Below are 23,988 nucleotides of genomic sequence, written 5' to 3' on the forward strand. Positions count from 1 at the left end.
TGCCCAATGCATAAGTAGGTGTTTAAGAAATGGGAGCTATTATTATTGCTATGATTATTTTAATTATGTCTACTTTTATTACTATTATATATATATATATATTTTTTTTATGAGATGGAGTCTTGGTGTGTCACCCAAGCTGGAGTGCAATGGCGCGATCTTGGCTCACTGAAACATCCACCTCCCGGGTTCAAGCAATTCTCCTGCCTCAGCCTCCCAAGTAGCTGGGATTACAGGTACCTGCCACCATGCCTGGTTAATTTTTTTGTATTTTTAGTAGAGACAGGGTTTCACCATGTTGGTCAGTCTGGTCTTGAACTCCTGACTTCAAGTGATCCACCCGCCTTGGCCTCCCAAATTGCTGAGATTATAGCCACCGCCCCCGGCCTTATTACTATTATTACTCAATTATATGCCACTTGTTCAAAATTGAAAATTTCCCACAAGGTAGACTGTTTTCCAGCCCCCACCATTCACTCTTTTATTTGCTGGCAACGTGTTTCTAGAATTGTTTGACTTTCTATAAAAGTCTCCATATATTTCAGGAGTAATTTTCAAGTACAGTAACTCTCAAATGTAGGATGCCATTGCTGTCATTGCATTGATTATTGAGAAAATAAATAAATAGCAAAACAATGCAAGGAATAGTCATCATATCCCGAGTTTCCAGATGCACGATCTTCTCTCAGTGAAAGGAATGAAATTCTTTTTTCATCTTTCAGACTTGGCTTATTAAAGTAATTTCCACCAAGTTGTTTCTGGCAGTTAATAAGGAGAATTTTAATTCACAGAGGAAACAGAGGAAAGGGGAAGGAAGCGAATATCTGCCTTCTATAAATCAGACTCTTTAAGGCATTGATTTCATTAAATATTTAAAATAATCCAATGATGTTCAGATTAGCGTCTCCATGTTACACAGCAGGACAGTGCGACTTCAGATGATAAAACTTCCTGCCTAATGTGACACAGCCAGAAAATGGCAGAGTGAAGCCACACTGCTTGGGCCCACCCAAGAATTTAATCTTCTCAGCCAAGAGCATTAAGAAAAATAACAAACAAAAGAGGTGGCATGATTCCATCCAGGAAAGACAGTAGCACCTGAAAATCCAGAATTTTCAGGGTGTGGTTCCATGGGCAGCTTAAAGGGAACACAATGGCCCCCACCAAGGTGGCTTGTTTCACTTTCCTTGTCTTCTCCACAGACCAGCAGAAGGCCCCACCGGAGATAAAGCTCAGAATGTACAAATCCCAAATTTACCCAGCCCAGGAATATCCAGAGACCAATAACTTCCTGGTCTCCCAATCTGGCGGTCTCCTTTTCTTTGATAACCACCCCAGTTGTTTTCATTTCTCATTTCTTTTTCTTGCATGTAACCATTGGCTTGTTTCCATGCCACCCAGCTCCTACAATAGAAGCGATGTGAGATTTTCTGCTACAGCAACATTCTTCGGGTGTTAAAGTTGCTTTGTTTTAAAAAGCCTGATGGTGGCTTAGCCACAGAAGAATGAACATGACGCCTTGGCTCCTTGCTGGGGAGGCACCCGTGGGATGGTGTCACCTGTCACTGGGAGACAAAGAAAGTCGTGCTCTGTCACTCTTTGGGTGGCAATTCTGTTGAAGTCACTGACCCTGCTTCCTCAAATTTTGCCTCTGCATCTGATGGGGTGCAGGCTTTTTTAGGGTTCTTTTCCAGATGTCTTTTGTGAACACCACCCTCTGAGACAGAGATATGGGGTTTTAGGATACCTGCTTTAGTGCCTTTTATGACTTCATCTTTCTGCTTGCTGCTCTTGAGAAAATGGACTTCACACAATAGGGAGATTTATGACTCTTCCTAGCAGCTTTCACAGAAAGAGTTAGCAGAGTGAATGAGGAAACGTCTTTTCTCTTTTTGCCCATACCAGCATTTCGGGGTGTGAAGACAGTGTGCTGAGTCTTCTTGTTTATAAATCTACTTTCCATGAGCCTTCAGATAAAGGAGAACTAGTTTTATTTAAAGCAAGCTAATAGTGTTAATTATGAGAAATATGATAAAGTTTTTTAAAAACCCTAGTGATTAACAAAAGACCAATACTGAAATTATAAAGAAGAAAATTCTAGAATCTTCCTTGGTGACACTCAATTCATGTGTAATCCAAATACCCAAGCATTTGGTATTGCATTCTACAATTATTTGTCAAATGTCTGCTACACATTAGGCATTGTGATAGGCAGCAGATACACAAGAACAAACCAGATAGGCGTGGTTTCTCAGGGAGCTGATTAGCTACTGAAGAGGACAGACACCTAGACGCTACACAATAAATTTGGTCTATTGAAGAGAGGGTCCTAACTCACTGGAAATCAATGAGAGTGCTCAGGATGAAGTGATGCTCAGAGACTCCTGTACCTTGTCCTCTTTCTCCATTGTGTTGGGCCCAAGATTAAATGGTAACATCAAAAAGCTTAATTCTCTAACCCAGGAGATTCCATGATCATGAAGGTGATGATAAACCCTTTCAGCTCGGGACCATCCATCATATCATGACACTCAGAGGTGATGTCAAATCTTTGATATCAAATTTTTTTTGAAGTTCATTTTCTGTCATGATATAATTGTTGGGTCTAGGTCTGCCTTTCTATTTTATATTGGAGAGTATTCGGTGATGGAGGGGTGTGTGTGTATGTGTGTGTGTGTGTGTGTGTGTGTGTGTCTTTATTTTTTTCTTTTCTGTAGCTTAGATCTTGGTTACAAAATAACTGTAATATAGCCTATTAACCACACTTTATTGTAGGGTTTTAAGAGCTACAAGGAAGTATTCAATCCTGCCACATTTCTGCATACTTATAGGGAGAAAGGATGGATACTTTCATTATTGCTGTTATCAGAAGAAAAAGAGTAAGAAATACTTACTTTTGTTCCTCATTCTTCAACCCATTTAAGATTTTGAATACCCATGCACAGGGAAAAAAACCTATCATGAATTAGTAGATAATAGTGAAGTATATTCCACATACCATATAACCAAACATTTGTATCAAATATCCATATGCCTTTGGGAAAGCTGCCTCCTCTTTTTGTACTTAATTTTGTAATTGTGAAACCAGGAGGATGCACTAGGTAATCTCAAAATTTATTTCTACTTCTAAAATTTCAAGTCCATGCCTCAGACCTTAACACATCTCATGACATTAAGATATTCTAAGTCCTAGCCCAGAGGCACTTCCAAATGACTTTTGATGTATAATACCAGATAAAGCAACTGGGTGAATTTTAAAATATGACCTTAAGTAAAGCTGCAAAGAAAACCCTAAACAGCTCCATCTCTGAGGTTCCATCCTCTCTTAGAAGACTGAGATGTCCTCCTATAATCCAGGTGTAAAAATATTCCAGGGGATGCTTTGAGAGACAGGCAAGAGAAGGTAGAGAGGGAGAGATGAGGACTTGTCAAAGCAGACACAAACGAATGTGCAACCATTGACTGACTGAATGGGTCAGTTGACCGACGAAGTTTTTATCTCTAATCTGGGAAGCGATTCAATCACCAAAGCGGAGTAAGAAAATCCTTCTCTACTAAGATGGAACAAGTGCTAAAAGTGGTATTCAAAGCACAAGTTTCAAATCCTGCCACCTCCTGACATATATACACTTGCTATGTAACCTTGGTGGGTTTAAGTAATTTCTTTGACCTTCAGATGATGATGATAATGATGATGATGAATAGAGGTAGGGTCTTGCTATGTTGTCCAGGCTGGTCTTGAACTTCCAGCCTCAAGCAATCCTCCTGACTCAGCCTCCTGAGTAGCTGGGATTATAGGCCACTGTGTCCAGTCTTCAGATTATTAAATTGGTAAGAGTTTTTTGTGAGAATGCAATGAGATCATATATTTAAGAGTTATTGGCTCATAGTGCATGCTCAATGAAAATGCTGACTCTAATTAGAATAATGATTTTGCTATGGTCTGAAAGTTTGCGTCCCCTCCAAATTCATATGTTGAAATCCTAAGCCCCAAGGTAAAAATATTAGGACATAGGGCCTTTGGGAAGTTATTAAGTTGGGAGAGGAGAGTACTCATGAATAGGATTAGTGCCTTTATTAAGGAGGCCCAAGGGAGCTCATTTGTCCCTTCTGCCAAGTGAAAGTATAGCAAAAAGATGGCTGTCTATAAACCAGGAAGTGGCCCTCACCAAACACTGAATCTGGGGGTACCTTGATCTTGGACTTCTGTTCTCCAGAACTGTGAGAAATAAATTGCTGTTGCTTATAAGCTGTGCAATTTATAGTGGTTTATTATAGCAGCCCGAATGCAGGGAGATTTCTTCACTCAAACCCCCCGAGAAGCAGTGGAACAACTTGGTAGTAAAAGTAGGTAAGAATGGGAGCAGCCAGTTCATGTTTACTCAAACGCACTGCACCCTCTCTCTCACCTCACACCTGTGTTTCATTCTTTCAAGTCTTCCCATCTACACTCTGCCTTTCTTGAGATCAGATGCTGTCCCCTGTACTTGAGCACTCTTCCCTCACTTCTTTTACCTAGTGAGCTCTTATTTTTATTCTCCAGGCCTCAATTTAGATATCTCCAGCTTTCTCTAAGATTCCCTCCCTGCCCTCCCCCACCAAGCCCAGGTTACCACCCGCAGTGTGGTCTCCTGCACCCTCTATGTGCCCTCCTTAGAACTCTTAACCTGCCATGTTGCTACGGTCTGTCCCACACCTCTCTTTCCCACCAGACCTTAAGGAAAAGAAGGACCAAGCCTGGATGTTTCCACTGTTCAATCTCCAGCACTCAGTCCAGTTTTAGAGGAGAACAGACCCTCAACATATACTTGCTGGTTGAGAAAAGAGAGGCCTTCTCAGTACCACAGGAAGAGTCTAGGGAGGTGAGTACAAAATGGCGGCCACAGATTCTTCACAAGGGGGAAGAGATTCCTTGGCCTGCTGACCTTTGCCCCCTCTCCAGCCACCCCTGAAGATTCCATTCCAAGTCCTGGCACCATCAGATAGTGAACTTTTTGATGGAGGCTTCCCACTTGCAGCAGAGAAGGCCCTCCACTCCACCCACAGAAGGCCTGCTTCTCCCAGCTCCCCAGGCCTCACTCCTTGCGTGGTGCCTCCCGTCCATTTTCCAGTCTGGGGCCGTGTCTGCTCTTGGAGTCAGGAGGGGAATGTCTGCGCCTTCTGCAGAGACACAGCGAGGGAACATGACGTCTCCCTCTGGCCCCAACCCCGAGCGTCATTGGTGTTGGCCTGAGATCAAAGCCGCTGTTCCATTTTTAACCTCGGTAGGGCCCCACCTCACCCTGAGCATGTGTTCCTGACATTTCATTGTGAGCCAGGGGAATAAACAAAACCCACCCCCTGAGTCTAGCGAAGGACGCCTTCAGGGGAGCTCTGAACTCGGCGAGGCAGATAAGTGTTTTTCCCACCGAGGGCCCCCCTTGTGCACTGCGGTTTTTCCTGAGCTTACATGACACCACCGTAAGGGAGATGGATGGCTTTATTTTTGTGCAGAACAAATGTACAGATGGTGACCCCCGACCAAAAAAAAAAAAGAAAAAAACTTAGTGTGCAGAGGCAGGGAGGAGGAGGCAGGGAGGAGGAGGCAGGGGGAGTCCATGTTGGCCTCTCCTCTCCCTATCTTTTCACTTCTCCTGGGTCTCCCGAAAATGTCACCAAAGTCTCCATCTGTGGTTATTGGGGATATTGACAGGAGCCCATTTTATTTTCAAATTATCTGTTCTTTGAGGTAAAAATAAAGACATGCTTTTAGAATTTTCAAGCAATTAAAAAAAGATATAAGGAAGAAAGATATGTCTGGTACAAATTAGAACTCAATAAATACTTGTGGAAGGAAGGAAAGAAAAAAATCCCTCCAAACTCCACCACTATCAATATTTTGCTGAGCATCCTTCTATATATTTATGTGTATTCCAACTATGTAACAAACAGGATCATACTATATTCATGTATAATATATTCGTATTTTCTATATATGCGTAATAAATGCAGTACAATTGCTACTATAGTTACTATTTCCTGCTGTATTTACACAGAATGATTACTATGTATATGAACATCATACGTTTATATTGTATACACACACATATAGTATCTACTACATCACACTGTACTATACTCTATTGTACTATAGTATATGCTACAATGTTTTTTTTTGTTGTTGTTATTTTTTGAGATGGAGCCTCACTCTGTTGCCCAGGCTGGGGTGCAGTGGTGCAATCTTGGCTCACTGCAACCTCCACCTCCCAGGTTCAAGCAATTCTCCTGCCTCAGACTCCTGAGTAGCTGGGATTACAAGCATGTGCCACCGTGCCTGGCTAATTTTTCTATTTTTAGTAGAGACAGCCAGGCTACTCTTGAACTCCTGACCTCGGGTGATCTGCTCACCATGGCCTCCCAAAGTGCTGGGATTACAGGAGTGACCCACTACACCCCACCAGTATATGCTACTATGCTCTAAAAAGTGCAGTAGTATGTTCCTATTGTACTTACTTACAGGATCATACTGTTTGAGGTGTTTCACTGTTGGCTTGTTTACCATGTCCTGGACATCTTTCCATGTCTATGAATTTTAAAACAAATTCATCCCATTTCAAGGCTGCCAAGTAGCTATTTGTGTGGCTGTGCTATCACTTAACCACTCCAAGAGAGCCACTTATGAAACCCCCACCTTAAAGTAAGCTCATACTTTTAATTTTTTTTTTCTCTTATGACTCTACCTTTCTGCTGTCTTGTAAGCCATACCCATTCGAGGTTAGAGTTTTCTACTTCCTCAACTGCAAAGTTGTCAGTATCAGGACAAGCGGTGCACATTTGCAGAAACCCTTTTGGATTTCTCTGTGGTGCTTTGGCTTGAAGAAAACAGTCCTCTCCTTTCTGCCTTCACCCACCTAATTTGTTTCCACATTTGTTTTTTTTTGTGGTGGCAATGACTGTATCAGGCTTTAAAAGGATGGTGTCTGGAGATTCATAGCTTTTCAAAAGCTCTTTGTTTTTTTCTGATGAACAGCCAGAACTAAGACACAGGAAGGCATAGAAAGAACATGGCCTCTCATGTTCAAAGGAGCCAAATTCTTGTTCGACCTTTGACCTCCCATGAAACAGTTTCCTCATCTGCAAAACTGCGGAGATTATAACTGAAGCCGCCTTGCAGTGTTATGAGGATTACAGTAAGCAAGTGCCTGACACACAGAACTCCTTAGCAATGTCAGCTTCTCTTTCTGAGAGCGTGTGAGGCAGGAGATGAAAGGTTTTGGAATTAACCATGTCTAGGTTTGAATCTGAGCTCAACCTTTTTCTATTTTTTATTATTTGTTTATTTTTAAAATTCTTTAAAAAATTTTTTTTGTTTTTATTTTTATGTTTTGAGACAGAGTCTTGCTCTATCACCCAGGCTGGAGTGCAGTGGCACAATCCCAGCTCACTGCAGCCTTTACCTCCCGGGCTCAAGCAATCCCCCCACTTTAGCCTCCTGAGTAGCTGGGACTACAGGCATGCACCACCATGCCTGGTTAATTTTTTTTTTTTTTTTTTTTGGTAAAGACAGGATCTCACTATGTTGCCCCAGGCAGGTCCCAAGCTCCTGGTCTCAATCTGTCCTCCCGCCTTGGCCTCCCAAAGTGCTGAGATTACAGACGAGAGCCATGGTGCCTGATCCTTTTTAAATTCTTTTGTAGAGACAGAGGTCTCACTTACTATGCTGCCTAGGCTGGTCTCAAACTCCTGGCCTCTAGCAATCCTCCAGTTTAGGCCTCCCAAAGTGCTGGGATTACAGGCATGAGTCACCATATATGGCCTTCAACTTCTCTCCAGATAAGTGACTTAACCCCTTTAAGTTTCTGTTTTCTTTCTGTCAATTGGAGTTAAAATACTCATGAGACAGCAGTCATAAGGCTTACAGATACTGTCTGCAAAGGGCCTGGATCAGGGCTCTTAAGTGGGAGCTGCTCTTATGATTCATTAGATTCTGACTCTTATCTCCAAACTTCAGGAAAAGCTTGAACTATCTTTTATTTACACATCAGTGGTCATGTTTTAGATGCCTATTTACATGTAGAAAATGTTGGGACAAAATTCAGAAACTTCATTATAATCCTGCCTTTCTTATTTACTTCCTGAAAGACCTTCAACAAGGCACCCTGGTTCCTACTTTTCTCGTTTCCCTAAACTGTTGATGCTGTTTGTAATAAAAACACCACTGAATATATCCTTGGTACTTAACAGTTTACAAAACATCTTTCATTATCCTTATACTATATTAACTTCCTAGCTACTGGGCCAAAGTTTACCAGTACACATTTAATACATCAATATTCTATCAACTTCAGAGCCCCTTTAAAATATGTTTTTTTTTTCTTTCTTAGAAAGCGAGTTATGGGCAAAGGGGTGAGAGTGGGTGTTAATATTTCCTGGGTTCTTCAGAGTACTTCCTTATTCATCCAACTAGCATTGTGTAATTGCTAGTAACATACTAGTTACTGTCCTACAATCTGAGGATGGAATAAGGTATTGTCATGACTTTCAAAAGTCTCCTTGGCTGGGCATAGTGGCTCACACCTGTAATCCTAGCACTTTGGGAGGCTGAGGCAGGAGGATCGCCTGAGCCCAAGAGTTTGAGACCAGCCTGGGCAACACAGCAAGGCCCCACCTCTGCAAAGAAAGTGGCACCCACCTGTGGTCCCATCTACTTGGGAGGCTGAGGTAGGAGGTTTGCTTGGGGCCAGGAGGTTAAGGCTACAGTGAGCCATGATCGTGCCACCACACTTCAGCCTGGGCAACCAAGCAAGACCCTGTCTAAAAAAAAAAAAAAAAAAACTCCTTTTTAAATGGGAAAGATATACATGTACACTGGAGCATGGAAAATATTCTAATCAAGATGTGCAGGGTAAAGTTGAAATACTAATGAGCAGATCTCTGACCCTCGGGGTGGAGGCCAGTGTTAGAAAAGATTTTAGGACAAGAAAATTCTTGAGTTCATCTTCAATGAAAAGAGTTCATTTCATCCAAATGGGGCTGACGGGGGCAGAGGAAATGGGGGTCAGGAAGGGAGTTTTTGGAAGACAGTGCAGTGTGTTTAAAGGCTTGGAGGCAGGCTCCACTCTGGTGTTTTTCAGGGGACTCCAAGAAGTCTATAGAGAGGTTGTGGGGGTGAGCAGGAGATGAAGCCAAAACTGTTAGCAGTGGCCAGAACTTGGAGAACCTTGTATTCCCTGTTGAAGAATCTGGGCTCTTCTGAGAGCAATGGTGGGTTTTACACGGGGGAATAGGATGACCCAAATTGTGTTTCTGGATGGCTGGATTTAAGGTGGTGACACAGAGGCAGGATTTGGGTTGAAGTGGTTTATTTGGGATGTGATCCCGGGAAGCAACCGCAGGGATGGGGAAGTGAGATACGGAAGGAGAGAAAACCAATGAAGGCTGCACTGTAGTGAAGGCTGCACCACCAGGGCAAGGGAAGCCCTATTCCTCCCTGTTCACACGCACAGGCACACATACACATACACACGCCCTATTGGGTCTGTTTCTCTGGAGAACTCTGAAAAATACAAAAAGTAAATATTCTTTGTATGTAAGTCCTCTGAATACAGAAATGGTCACATGACACAAGCCTAGACAATCAGAGTCCTGCACTGGCTCCTCTGCCCTTTGCATCCTTTAATCTCTCCCACTGGTGCCATCAGAGCCCGTGCTGAGTCTGGCTTTGAAGAGGATTGAAGAATTGGGTTAGAACTCCATCTGATGCTGACCTGGCCTGACCTCCAAACACTGCTTCTCCCACTGCGCCTAAGATTAAGGAACTACCTCCGTGTGTGGGGGAGAGCTGTCCCACCTACCTGAATGCTCACTGTAGAGGGTTTAACTCTTGTTTTTGTTTCTTCATAATTCATTCTCTCATTCTTTGTCTTGATTCTCCTTCCACGATGCTCCCTATGCCGTTTTTTTTTCTGAATATATAAGTAATATATTTTCTTTGTTGAAAATTCAGAAAATACGAAAAAGACTTTAGAAGAAAGTAAGTATCACCCATAACCCAACACTGAGCAGTAATAACCACTCTAACATTTAGGTATATTTTCTTCTTTTTTCTATGCATTTATGTTTTTTTTTAATTAAGATTGTACTATATATATATAACTTGTTTTTAAAATATTTAATTTTTGAACAGACAATATATTTTACATGGCTAAATAATCAAAAAGTGTAAAATTGTATACAGTGAAAAGTCTTGCTCCCTTCTGATCACATAAGTAATTACCATTTATCAGTTTCCTTACAGAGATTTTGTTTTAAATGTTTTTAGAGACAGGGTCTCACGTTGTTGCCCAGGCTGGTCTCAAGCTCCTGGCCTCAAGCAGCCTCCTACCTTGGCTCCCAAGGTGCTGGGATTACAGGCATGAGCCACTATACCCAGCCCTTCCAGAGAATTTTTATGCTTATTAAAAGCAATTATGAATAATTTTCTTTGCTATACCTGCAAGTTTTTAATATAAATAGCACACCGTAGTAACTATTCTGCATCTTGCCTTTTTCACTTAATATATGCTATAATTCATCCCAAATCATTACATAAAGAGCTGCTTCATTCTTTTTTACAGCTGTCATTTTATAATATTCCATTGTATGTATGTACCATCATTTATTTAGCCAGTCCCCTGGTGAATGGATATTTAGATTGTTTCCAATCATTTGCTATTAGTAACAGTGTTTGTATATAGATTATTTTGCCCTTTACTGTAAGATAAATTCCTAGAATTCTTAAAGGGTATGTGCATTTGAATTTTGATAGCTGTTGCTAAATTGTCCTCCAGGAAGTTATATATATATAAGTGCCCTCACCAGAGGCCAGGTGCAGTGGCTCACACCTGTAATCTCAGCACTTTGCAGGGGATGCTCCCTATGCCATTCTTCGCCCATTTGACTTTAGGTACAGTCTCAGTAATCGGGCAGAATCACGTGACTCAGCCTAACCAATAAGAGTTCCACTTCCCTATGGCCATGGTGATCGGTGCAAAGCTGAGCACATAATCTAAGTTGCCACAGTCAGAGCCAATGAGGGGAGGCCCCTGGGTTTTCACTGAAACTATTGGACAACTGGAGTTCTCTTTCTGCTGGGTTTGCCAGGCTAGTGGGCTATAAGGATGAAGCTGCCATCTTGAGAATAAATTCAATCCAGTAGAAAATAAAACTAAAAGATGGGGAGAGAAACTAAAGCTTGATGATATCATTTGAGTACCTGAATTCAATCATACCTGAAAGCAGACAACTCCACCCCTAGACTTTTAAATTATGTGAATCAATAAATTATTTTTATTTCCTTAAACCCATTGAGTTGGGTTTCTGTCTCTTGCAAACATGGAGGTCCTAGCTAAAGAACTAATCAAACCTTTGGGGAATAGCCCTGGCTTTCAGCAGCCTCAGGTTCCCTTTTTCTAGGGGATGAGAATCTGATACGTTGGAATCTTGAACCATCCAAATAATAACTGCTACAGCCTCAGCAACAACTACCATTTATTGAGTGCTTCCATATATTACATCACTAATTACACTCCTAGGCACTATTATTATTAATTATTACTATTATTATTTTGAAATAGGGTCTGGGTCTGTTGCCCAGGCTGGAGTACAGCGGCATGATCTCGTCTCACTGCAACCTCCGCCTCCCCCATTTTATAAATGAAGAAATTGAGGCTCAGAGAAGTTTAGCAACTTGGCCAAGGCCACACAGCTGGTAAATGACTTCACAACCAAATTCAGGCCTATCTGTCTCCTGACTGCAAGGTTGATCTCACTTTTCCTTGCTTTCTTCCTTAGGAATTGAAAGCTCCCTGATGAATGGACAGAGATGTGAGTTGAACTTTGCTAAATACCCATTAAGCATTAAGTAATAGTGTCCCTTCATTACCAAGGTGTTAGGTTAGGTCAACAAACAGACAAGAGAAAGGTCATGCTCTCACTCTGTGCTTTTCTCCCAGCCTATCTACTGGAATACCAGCCTTGCTTGGAGAATGGCCTGTTACCAGATACTCTCCTCATCTTGGGGTTTCTGTATACAATCTTATTTCCTGCCATAAGTGGAACCTCCATTATCAGGGCCGTAGCAAAGTCTGCCCCATAAAGCATGTGCGCATAAACTCTGTCTCCTGAGCCCCCAGAATCTAGACTATCAGGTGTATGTATCCAAATATCTCAGAAGGCTTTGAAACATTAATCCATTTGCTCCTAAGTCCTGGGTAACCACATGCAACAAAAATGGGGAAAGGGTCCTATCTTGTGGCTTTTCAAGATTAAAGATCTTGATAGCATTGAGTGGTGCCCAGCCATTGAGGGGCCATTTGACAGAGCTGCTGCACCAGCAGATGCAGAGTTAAATACCAGGCTTGTGTCCCCAGATCAGTTGTTGCAATCAGAGATGTTAAAACCATTCCAGTCTTCCAAAAAAAAAAAAAAAAAAAAAAAGAATAATTCCCAGTCAGGCTGGTGTCAATGTTTTGCTAATGGTTTTAATGGCTGTTTCTACAAACTTGCAGAATGCTTCTATTCCTCAGTTTGGTTTTAGCTACCTATTTTGTGAACTCTGCTTGGGCAAGGGGGAAGATAAGGGTGTGGGAGAAGGTACCCCTGGGAACAATGGGGAAATATTAAACGACTGATTCCCAACTGGTCTCCCAGAGGATGCCTCATGGTTCTCTGAGACCTAGAGATTGAAGAGAAGGGGCTGAGATTCTCCATGTGTGGTCTAATGACAACGCCAACCTGAGAAAATACACTAGATTCCCCTAGAAATATTTCCAAGGGGTGTAGTGTAGCTGAATCAGAAGCCTGGATTAGAGACCCATCTCTGACACTGGCTGGCCTTAGAGACATCATTTATTTCCCTGAGCCTCGGTTTCTCCATCTGTTACAATTAAGCTGGATCAGTGGTTCCCAAATTCCATCTTTAGCATTTCTACGTGAGAATCACCTGGGGAAAAGGGTGTTATAATACGGATTCCTAGACCCTAGCCTTATTCAGTCAGAATCTACAAGCCAAGGCCTATGAATCTGTATTTTTTGCAGGCTTCCCCAGGAGATTCTTAAGCAAGGCCAGGTTTGGAGATTACCAAACTGGATCAACCCACAGTCCCCTCCCACCTTAGCATTCTGAGAGAACAATTTGGGGACACGTGTTGGGGTTTTCTGTTCTCTGTTGGAAGAGAGTTGCCTTGTTGGCTTCTTGGCTTTCCTGATAACTTCTCCCAGTTTCACCCACCTTTAAACAGAAAACATTATGGGTGCCCTGAAGGGAAATAAAAGCAAAGAAGTCTCACGTTTTTGGTTTCAAGAGAGAACTTTACCTTCCATTCTCACGCTGTGATTGTTTTATGGGCCCTTAGTAAGACATAACCCAAATCAACTTTCTTAAACCCAGCTACATGGAAACTATGCTGGAGAGTGTATAGGCTCAAAGAAGAACTAAATGAAGAGTCTTCGGGTTGTAGAAGAGTCTACAACACAAAGAACTAAATGAAAACTCCATTGTCAGGCTGTTAACTGCAAATGGCACCACACGTAAACATTTACTGAGCACTTCCTCTGGGCCAAGAACTTCACGTAAATTATTCCTTTCCATCTTCCTATCCCAAGAAGTAGATGCTATTATTTCACCCCCATTTTACATTTGAGGAAGTTGAGGTACACACAGGCTAAGTTATTTGCTCAAGTTTCCCTTGCTCGTGAAGTGCGGGAGCTGTAATTACGAGCCCAAACAGATGACAAAACAACCCTTTGTGTAAAAAGAGATAGTTCATGCATTGTCCAGAAAAGTTTAGAGGGTGTAGACTCCAGCCTTTAATTCCCTTTTTCTAAGAATTGTTGTCCAAGCAAAATAAACGGAACTCGTAATAGCTCATTGTGCTGTTGGCCCTGCTATCTCACATGTCCGGCATTCCATTATCCCACCTGGCAGCTGCTCCCTTCACTAAAGGGAGCTGGGGACATTAGCAACGGAATATTTTTTTTAATTATAGAAGGGGGATTGTTTAGACTGATCCAAGGGCCATAACATGGAATAATAGAGTGACAGGTTGAGAGCAATTTTGCCAGACCAAGAAAGGACTGATTTCACGATTATTTTGGTAATTCTGCTACCCACCACGTTTAACATAATGCTGAGATTTATAGTGTCATGGGATCTAGGTGGGATTTGATCACTCTTGGCTTCAGTTTACCACTGACCAGAATGCATGCCACATTTATTTAGCATGTCATTTTTGTGCAAAGTCCCAAATGGAGGAGAGCAAAGCATGCTAAGCTAAGAATCCAGGCCTTTGTTCTCTGTGTGGATGAGGACTACCACCTTCTACGATCTTAATCTCAGTTTTTCCATCTGTACAATGGGATGATTGGATTGGAAGATTCCCAAACTCTTTTCAACTCTGACATTTGATTTACTTTGATTCAGTTCTATTCAGCCAATATTCACAGAGCAGCTGCTCAATGCCAGGCCTTTAAGTGGGAACCTGGGGACACAGTAAAAATAGCAATGGCCATCATACCTGGTTTGTAGGTAGGTGTTTGATAGGGCCAAGAGGATGGAACAGGGAGCAAGACACCCACCTCTGCATTGTGCAACTGGGTGACTTTGGGTGAGCCACCTGACGTCTTTGAGCTTGTTCTTCATGTTGTGAGGCTTACAGAAAGAAGTTTCTCAAAGTGTGGTCAGATGACTCTCTGGATTGGCAAAACCTTTGGTACTTGTCGACAACTCAAATCCCTGGATCCAAGTTCAGGCCTGCTGAATCAGAATCTCTTGGGGGAGGAGGCAGGTATCCATTTCAACAAAGACCCCAAAGTGATTCTTAAATACATTGACATGTATTTAAGATAATATGTTAAAGTTTCTCACAATTTTTGAGCAAGGGCTCCATGCACATTTGATGACTTTTACCAACAAATGCATTGGAAAACCTTTGCTTTCAATCACACTCTACTCCACTGCCCCTGTAGGTTTTCTGTTTGTTTATAAATATGTTTGTGTACATAAACACACACACACATCTATATATTTACATATATATATTAAAGCTATATTATTGAAGACTTATTATATACCAGAAATTTTACTTACATAGAAGTGTATTATTGAAATGTGGAATGTGAGCTTCAGAGAGGTTAAATAGCTTGCTTATGATCATGCATTTAGTAAGAGATAGAGCCAGGTTGTGAACCCAGGTCCATCTGACTCCAAAGCTTGTTTAGACTGCCTCTTGATCTGTCTTAACCAAGGCTACCATGATGACCATCTCCAGGTGGCTCTATTCACATGAACTACAACAGGAACAGTGTCCCTGGAGTGGTACAACAAGGGTGTCCTGCCAACACTGCCAGTGCTTTACCCCTCTTCTTATTGTCCTTCCCCCATCTGCAACATCCTCTTTAACTCTTAGCTCAAATCTCTTTACTTCTGGATAGTCTCACCTTATAATCCAGTCCCGGGTGATTATGCCTGTATTTTCTTCTCAGTGCTCATGTGTAGCAACTGTAGTGCTTATGGGGAATGGAGTGAGAGTTATCCCTACCTTCCTTACCCCAAACTTTTTTTGGTTCCAGCTCTTTTGTTCTCATTATTTGTTGCTGTATAGCAAACTGCCCCAAACTTAGTGGCTTAAAACAACAACTGTTTCATTGTAACTTATAATTTTGCAGGTTAGGAATTTGGGCAGGGTTCAGCTAGATGATTCTTCTGTTCCATGCAATATTAGCAGAGGGCACTTGGGCTGGTCTAGAGCAGAGGTCAGCAAACTATGGTCTTCAGGCAAAATCCAATCTGGCATCTGTTTTTGTAAATGAAATTTTATTGAAACACAGCCACACTCATTTATTCATGCATTGTGGCTACTTTCATGTTAGAACAGCAGAGTTGATTGGTCATGACAGAGACTATATGGCCTTCCAAGCTTCAAATATTTACTATCTGGCCTTTTACAGAAATAATTTTCTGAACTCTGGTGCCTTGTAGGGACTTGGAGGACCTGGCTAAAACCCAGTTCAGTGAAGACTTAACTGGGCTGCCTACAGATGGCCTCTCCCAAGCACAGAGACCCCAGTGTACTTGAGCTTCTTCCATGGCAGCCGAAGCCTCACAGAAAAAGGAACATTTTCTCTAGAGGCCCACGTGGAACTCAAAAGTCCTTTTATGACTTAGTCTCAGAAGTTTGAGAACGTCCCTTCTGCCACATTCCATTGGTCAACCAAGTCACTAAAGTCAGTTAAGATTCTAAGGGAAGGAATTAGGTTGCATTTCTCAATGAGAGGATTAGCAAAGAATTTGTGGTCAGCTTTAATCTACCACACCTCATTTTTGAAAATCTTTATAAAATTATTGCATCTTCTTTCTTGGCCGGTGATGATCACAATTGAAATCTTCCTTTGGTGATTGAGTACCTGGGGGACACTTGGGGGTCAGCATTTATCCTGCCAATATTTATTGCACTCTTACTAAGTGTCATGCACTCTGTTAGACTCTAGGGATGCAGCAACAAACAGAAAAATGTGGCCCCAACCTCATGAAATTGGCAGTCTAGTGAAAGTAAATAAAAGATATCCAGAAATGAAGTTGAAATGTTCTGGTGGTAAATTTGACTATGCCCTGAGCTGTCCTTTTGACTAAATTTCTGAATCCAGTTTTATTTATTTTTTTGATCCATTCATTTTTCCTAAAAGTGAAATAGAAGAAAGGAATTCCAGTCAATTGATGGTTTCAGATAATCAGAACTTTGGTTCAATACTTTTTATGTTTTCATGGCATTTATGTGGACGTGATGTTTTGTCATTCATATGCTTTGCAATTTACCTTTATTTCAATCTTACTTTTAATTCTACCACATGGATTTTAAATTGTCTCCACTTTTATTACAAGTTCCATGGTGGTGACAGCTATGTTCCTATTTCCCACGGCACCTAAGTCAGGACTCTGAAATAGCAGTGGCTCAATAAATGGTGTAGTACCTACAAAGCTGCAAGTGGAACTACCTTTTGAAAATTTGTAATAAGAAGAGATCAATTCCAGGGCTCAGCTCCAAGGGTCTATTGATGCTTTATAGTTTTTCATTGTCACTGGCTCTAACATGGAAGATTCTCCACATTCCTGTTAGTTGGACCCACAGGTATTTCCTGACAGTCCTGACCTGTTGGCCTACTGGAAGCTGATGTTCCCATGTAACATCCTGATGCCTCAGTGGCTGCGGTCTTAGGGAGAATAGAGGCTTTATTCATCTTTTCCCACATTGATCACATTCTGTCAAATCTCTTCCCCCTCTGGACCCTTCAATGTTGGATATCAATGGTTTCATTGTAATGGTAAGCTCTCATTATCTGAAAATTCCTTTCTGCTCACCTTCCTTTTTTTCCCTTAGCTCTGAGAGGTGGAAGTTTCTTTGTGCGTGTGTATTTTTTCAATCACTCTATCTATATATCCATAAATCTATTTTAATTAAGTATGTCATGCCCAGGAGGTAACAGGTATTTTTTCTGTTCTTTTTTAAATTTTAGGGCTTAAATAAGGGAATTTTAAAAATCCACTTTATGGAAGTATAATTGACCTACAAAAAGCTGTGGATATCTAATGCATACAGCTTGATGGGTTTGGAGATATGTATGTGAAACCATCACCATCTATGTGGTAAACATATTCATCACCTATTAAAGTTTCCTCCCACCTTCTTTATTATTATTATTATTATGATAAGAACACTTAACATAAGTTTTTATTCTTACCAAATTAAAAAATATACAATACAGTATTGCTAATTATAGACACTATGCTATATAGTAGTTCTTTAAGACTTACTCATCTTGCACAGCTAAAACTTTTTACTCTTTAATAATTACTCCCCATTTTCCACCCATTCCTCCATCCCCCAGCTTGGGCAGCCAGCATTCTACTTTGTACTTCTATGAATTTGATTGCTTTAGGTTATTTGTATAAGTGGGATGGTGTAGTATTTGTCCTACTGTGCCCGGCTTATGTCACTTAGCATAATGTCCTCTAGTTTCATTCATGTTATTGAAAATGGCAGGATTTTCTTCTTTTGCAAGGCTGAATAATATTTCGTTGTGTATCTGTACCACATTTTTTTTTATCCATTCATCTGTCTATGGGCATTTACATTGCTTCCATATCTTGGCTATTTTGAATAATGCTGCAATGAACACGAGAATGCAGATTTCTCTTTGAAGTATTGATTGCATTTCTTTTGAGTAATACCTGAAAGTGGGGTTACTGGATCATATAATAGTTTGATTTTTAATTTTTTAAGAAACTTTCATACTGTTCTCATAATGGCTGTATCAGTGTACATTTCCCTCAGCAGCATACATATTCACACCAACATTTGTTAGCTTCTGTCTTTTTTATCATAGCCATTGTAAAAGGTGTGAGGTGATATCTCATCATGGTTTTGATTCTGATTAGTGATATTGCACAGCTTTTCACAAACCTGTTAGCCATTTGAATGTCTTCTCTTGAGAAATGTCTGTACAGTCCTTTGCCCACTTTTTAATTAGTTTATTTGATTTTTGTTACACAGGGTAGGAATTCCTTATATATTTTGGATTGTTAACTCTTTATCATATAAATGGCTTGCAAACATGTTCTCCCGTTCTATAGATTGCCTTTGCATTTTGTGGCTTGTTTCCTTTGCTGTGCAGAAGCTTCTTAGTTTGATGTAGGTTCACTTGTCTATTTTTGCTTTTGTTGCCTATACTTTTGGTTAGGAGGCTGCATTTTATGTGAATCTTCTCAGTGAATTCTCAGAGCAACCTTATGTGTTAACTCCGTGATTAGGCAAGCACTTATTCCCCAGAGTCAGACAGCATAGGAGTCCTTTCCTGGTATCGCATCTCTGAACCTTGATTTTCTTTGAAATGGCATAGCATTACTGAGCTGAAAGACTTGTTCTGAGAATTAAATGAGTTAAAGGCACATAATAAACATCCAACAAATATAGCCTATGATTATTATGTACCACATTTCTTCTCAATTTGCGGAAAAGGCCACTGAGGCTCAGAAAGGTTAAGTAACTAACTCATAGTCACACAGCTGTAAAGAGCAGAGCCAGGAGTTTAACACAACATAGTCTGACTTTAGTCTGTGGTTTTTGTTTTTTTCCCCCTCAATGTTACACCAGCTCCTAACATCCAATAATGCACACATGGCCTTTGGCAGCAACATTATAAATACAGAGACACTCCTGTTATTTTCCTTATTTTATTTTTTGTCAGGTGAGCTTCTTCCCTCAATAGTACCTTTATTCTCTTTGGTGATTCTTCTAGATGGAGCAAAACAAAACAAAACAAAAAACAAACACACACAAGCAAACTAAAGAGGGTCCCTATTTGCAATCAAGAAAACACTTCACAGATGTCCTCGACTTGGAAAGAGTGCAAAAATCAAAACAGATAAACAATTCTTGGCTAATATTGCCCAAGACTTGGAAAGCCAAGATGCTTCCTGAAGACCCAGGATGGATTGGCCTAGCCTCATTCCCAACTACAAGAGTAGCCCCATGTGAGAAGTTTCAGCCATGCCTGGAAACCCTCTTTGGAATCCCTACATATGCATGCCTGTGGGCGGGAACTGAGAACTTCTCAGCTCACAAAATTTGGCAGTTGTGTTTTTAAGACACGTGCATGGCTAACAGAATTAATCATGACTAACTGCGACCACCAACTTCATTTGCAGAGGCTGCAATGGTATGGGAATCGTTGAGTTGAACAGTCTTGGGTTCCATTTTGAAAATCTATTTTTTTTCTTTTTTGAATCAAAACCAAATGTACACTGAAAGAACTAGCGCCGATGAGAAAATTTAAAAGCCCACCATTTCAAATCCCACTAGCCGAGACTTTGGCTCCTACCACCATCTCTCTGAATCCTTCTCATTCACTGCCTCATTAATCCTCACCACACACTGTTGAAGTCAGCATCCTGTTTTAAGGATGAGAAAAAGAAAGTCCAGCAATACATTTCTTTAATGCATTCAGAAAAAATATCTTCCCAAATGCTTTCCCCATGGAGTCATAGTAAACATGGTCACTGAAGAAGTAGCAATCTCAACCAGGCGCTGTGGCTCACACCTGTAATCCCAGCATTTTGAGAGGCCGAGGTGGGCACATTGCCTGAGGTCAGGAGTTTGAGACCAGCCTGGCCAACATGGTGAAACCCCGCCTCTACTGAAAATACAAAAAAATTAGCCGGGCATGGTGGCACGCCTGTAATCCCAGCTACTCGGGAGGCTGAGGCAAGGGAATTGCTTGAACCAGGGAGGTGGAGGTTGCAGTGAGCTGAGATCGTGCCACTGCACTCCAGCCTGGGCGACAGTGTGAGACCCCATCTCAAAAAAAAAAAAAAAAAAAAAAGAAGTAGCAGTCTCATTACTTCATTGTATAGTAGCTGTTAAGCAGTAATTGCAGAATAATGTATTAAGCTCATGATCCTGAGAGTCTAGGAGCCTTAGGTTGGACACCAGTCTCAGCTGTATGTCCTTGGGCAATTACTTAATTTTTCTGATCCTCACTTTCCTCTTCCATGAAATGCCATTAATAACAATTCCTACCTCCTAGGATTATTGGGAGGTTTGAGATTATTTGTGTAAAGCACTTAGCATCATGCTTATGGGAAGCTGCTAATGGAATTTATCTGTTCTTAGCATTAGAAACATATAATTGTCAGGGTTATTTGAAAATCATCGCAATAACTCTTAACAATAGTAATTCTCATTTATTGATAATATCATATTCATATAAGGTTTTATAACCTCAATTCCCACTTGGCCTGGCAGCCACAGGAGGCCAATGGATCTATTTCATTTCTTCTAAATGCTATCCTCGGTCAGCAAATCAAGGGACCCAATTTTTGGCTTGTGCTGCAGGATAAAGAAATAACTCTAGTAGCATAGAATTGCTTAAGCTCTGTGCTGGGCTACGATAATGAAAATTCATGTGAGTCTCTGGAATAATGCCTACTTTAATTCTTTTATAAGGATACCGTAACCTAGTTGGGGATTAAAGATGCTTTCCTCTCTGTGAATAATTCCAACTTGCTTGGCTTGAGGTACCAAGTTTTGGTAGAGAGTTTAAGAAAAATGTTAATCAAAGCCATGATAAAATTTCTCTGAAGTGCAGTAAGGAGTCACATCTTGACTTTACTCCCATCTATGGTGGTTTAAAGCACACAAAGAAATGTTCTCTTACAAACATCAAACAGCTGCTCCAAAAATACAGGCTGAAAAAGGTCTCATCGTCCCATGTTTCAGCCACAACAAACAAAAGTTTATGAGAAGCCACGATACATTTGAGAGGCACTGGAACATTCTTTAGTGTCTAATGTCAATTGACAATCAGCAGGAGAACCACAATAAACATGCAGCTGCATGGCAGAAAAACTATAAACCCACGCCATATGTTGAAGCAGTCACTGCTGTTGGCCACCAAACCACCTACGGTCCCCTTGACCTCACAGACTGATGACTGGGCCCAGCCGTGAGGCTGCGAGGTGACCATTGCCCCTGCTGAAATCTCACCATTCCTCCAACATCCCGAAAGGTCAGAAGCCTCACCCACAGTTTATAGATGGATTTCACTGAATCTCAGCCACTAACCACCTCATCATGCCTTCCAGATCACCTAAAATATATTTCTCAAACTCTGTTTCACAGAACGATAGTCCCAAGAGGTGGTCCTTGGCAAGCTGGTTCTGTAGTGGAAGAAGACTGGAAATGACTGCCTACCGCTGCTCTCACATGAAGTTTCTCACTCATCGGGAACCAAGGTGCTGCATAATGTCCTGATCTGCCAATCTTAGCATGTCACCTGCATCCAGAACAGCAGGAAGGAGAAAAGCAGAAGACCCTTTCCCTCTACAACAACATCCTAGAAATAACACACGACACTTCTATGCAAAACTTTATTGATGAAAACTCAGTCTGATGGCTGCTCTTGGCTATAAAAGGACTGAGAGAATTAGGTTTTCAGCCAGGACATAACTCTGGACTGTTAAAAGCCAGGGTTCTGGCCGGGCGCAATGGCTCACGCCTGTAATCCCAGCACTTTGGGAGGCCGAGGCGGGCGGATCATGAGGTCAGGAGATCGAGACCATCCTGGCTAACATGGTGAAACCCCGTCTCTACTAAAAATACAAAAAATTAGCCGGGCGTGGTAGCGGGAGCCTGTAGTCCCAGCTACTCGGGAGGCTGAGGCAGGAGAATGGTGTGAACTCGGGAGGCGGAGTTTGCAGTGAGCCAAGATCGCACCACTGCACTCCAGCCTGGGCGATAGAGCGAGACTCCATCTCAAAAACAGAACAAAACAAAACAAAACAAAACAGAAAACCCTGACATGATTCAGCTATTGGAAGGCTTTTAAAGTCTTTTTGACTGTAAATTTTCTGAATTCTAAATATAAATCAAGAATTTTCAACAAACTTGAGCATCCACATGTGATGTGTTATTGGCATAAGATATGCACTAGATTTTAAAAACTTAGGATGCAAAAAAATGTAAAGTGTCTCACTGATAAGTTTTATGTCTATTACGTGATGAAAGGATAATATTTTGGTTAAAATCACTTAAATATATTATTTAAACTAATTCTGTTACTTTTCACTTTTTAAAATGTGACTACTAGAAAATTTATTTATTTATTTATTTATTTATTTATTAATTATTGTTGAGACAGGGTCTTGCTCTGTCGCCCAGTATGGAGTACAGTGATGCGATCTTGGCTCACAGCAACCTCCATCTCCCATGCTCAAGTGATTCTCCCACCTCAGCCTCCTAAGTAGTTGGGACTACAGATGCACACCACCATGCCTAGCTAATTTTTGTAACTTTTTTGGTAGAGACGGGGTTCTTGCATGTTGTCCAGACTGGTAGAAAATTTAAAATTACAAACGTGGGTTTCCTTAGATTTCTACTGTACAGTGCTGGGCTAGAGTGTAGTAAGTCACTGAAGAAAGACCATTTCACAAGTCTGTTCTTTCTGCTGTAAATGAGGTACCAACTGAATCATCTCTGGTTGTAGCATGAACCCAGCACATTCAATGACAATGGGATGAACAAAGGAATATACATGCATACATGAAATGCAATATTTTTTCATTTCTAGGCTTCACTGCAGTTGCTGAAATCTGGCATCTCATGTGAGAGGCTCCCCTGGGTCTTTCACATGTTGTCAGAGATTCCATAGTTTATCACCTGAAATATTTTTCTTGTATTGTGTACCTCCTGGCAAGATCTTAAGTTGACATCAACTGAGAAATAAGGAAGTAAGAAATACTGTACTTTACTTCACTCATCTATTCAACAAGTAGTAATGGACTCTCTACTATACACCCAATACTGTTCTAGAAGAATATTGATTCAATGGTGACCACTCCAGACACGGTTCCTACCCTCCTGGGGCTTATCTTCTATTGAGAAACCAAACAAATAACAGAAAACATGTAGACCCTTTAATTAAGAAATTTACCCCAGAGGGTCTCACTTTTGGCCGGGCATGGTGGCTCACACCTGTAATCCTAGCACTTTGGAAGACCAAGTCAGTTGGATCACATAACGCCAGGAGTTCACGATCAGCCTGGCCAACATGACAAAACCCTGTCTCTACTAAAAATACAAAAATTAACCAGGTGTGATGGCATGTGCCTGTAGTCCCAGCTACTCCGGAGGCTGAGGCAGGAGAATTGCTTGAACCCAGGAGGTGGAGGTTGGAGTGAGCCGAGATTGAGCCACTGCACTGCAACCTGAGCAATAGAGTGAGAACTTGTCTCAAAAAAACAAAGAAAGAAAGAAAGGAAAAAGAAACTTATCTGCTGTATTTCCTTCCCCATGATCTTTCATATATTACCTTCACTGAGACTATTTTTTCTTTTCTATCTTCTCCTTCCTGGTAAGTTTTGGGAGAATCAAGGAAGCAATTTCTGATGAAGTCTTTGTTATGACACAGATAGGCTCC

The 23,988-nt window shown here is 41.2% G+C and overlaps 1 long non-coding RNA gene across 1 annotated transcript; it reads left to right on the forward strand.

The window, feature by feature from the left end:
* Window positions 1-371: 371 nt before the first annotated feature.
* LOC124903080 (uncharacterized) lies at window positions 372-22,073 on the forward strand. The gene is made up of 3 exons (XR_007063587.1): window positions 372-2,879; window positions 4,713-4,862; window positions 21,693-22,073. It is a non-coding gene; the product is annotated as an uncharacterized LOC124903080 (long non-coding RNA).
* Window positions 22,074-23,988: the final 1,915 nt, after the last annotated feature.

This window comes from Homo sapiens, chromosome 12 (assembly GCF_000001405.40).
Source record: "Homo sapiens chromosome 12, GRCh38.p14 Primary Assembly".
In the NCBI taxonomy this organism is placed as follows: Eukaryota; Metazoa; Chordata; class Mammalia; order Primates; family Hominidae; genus Homo; species Homo sapiens.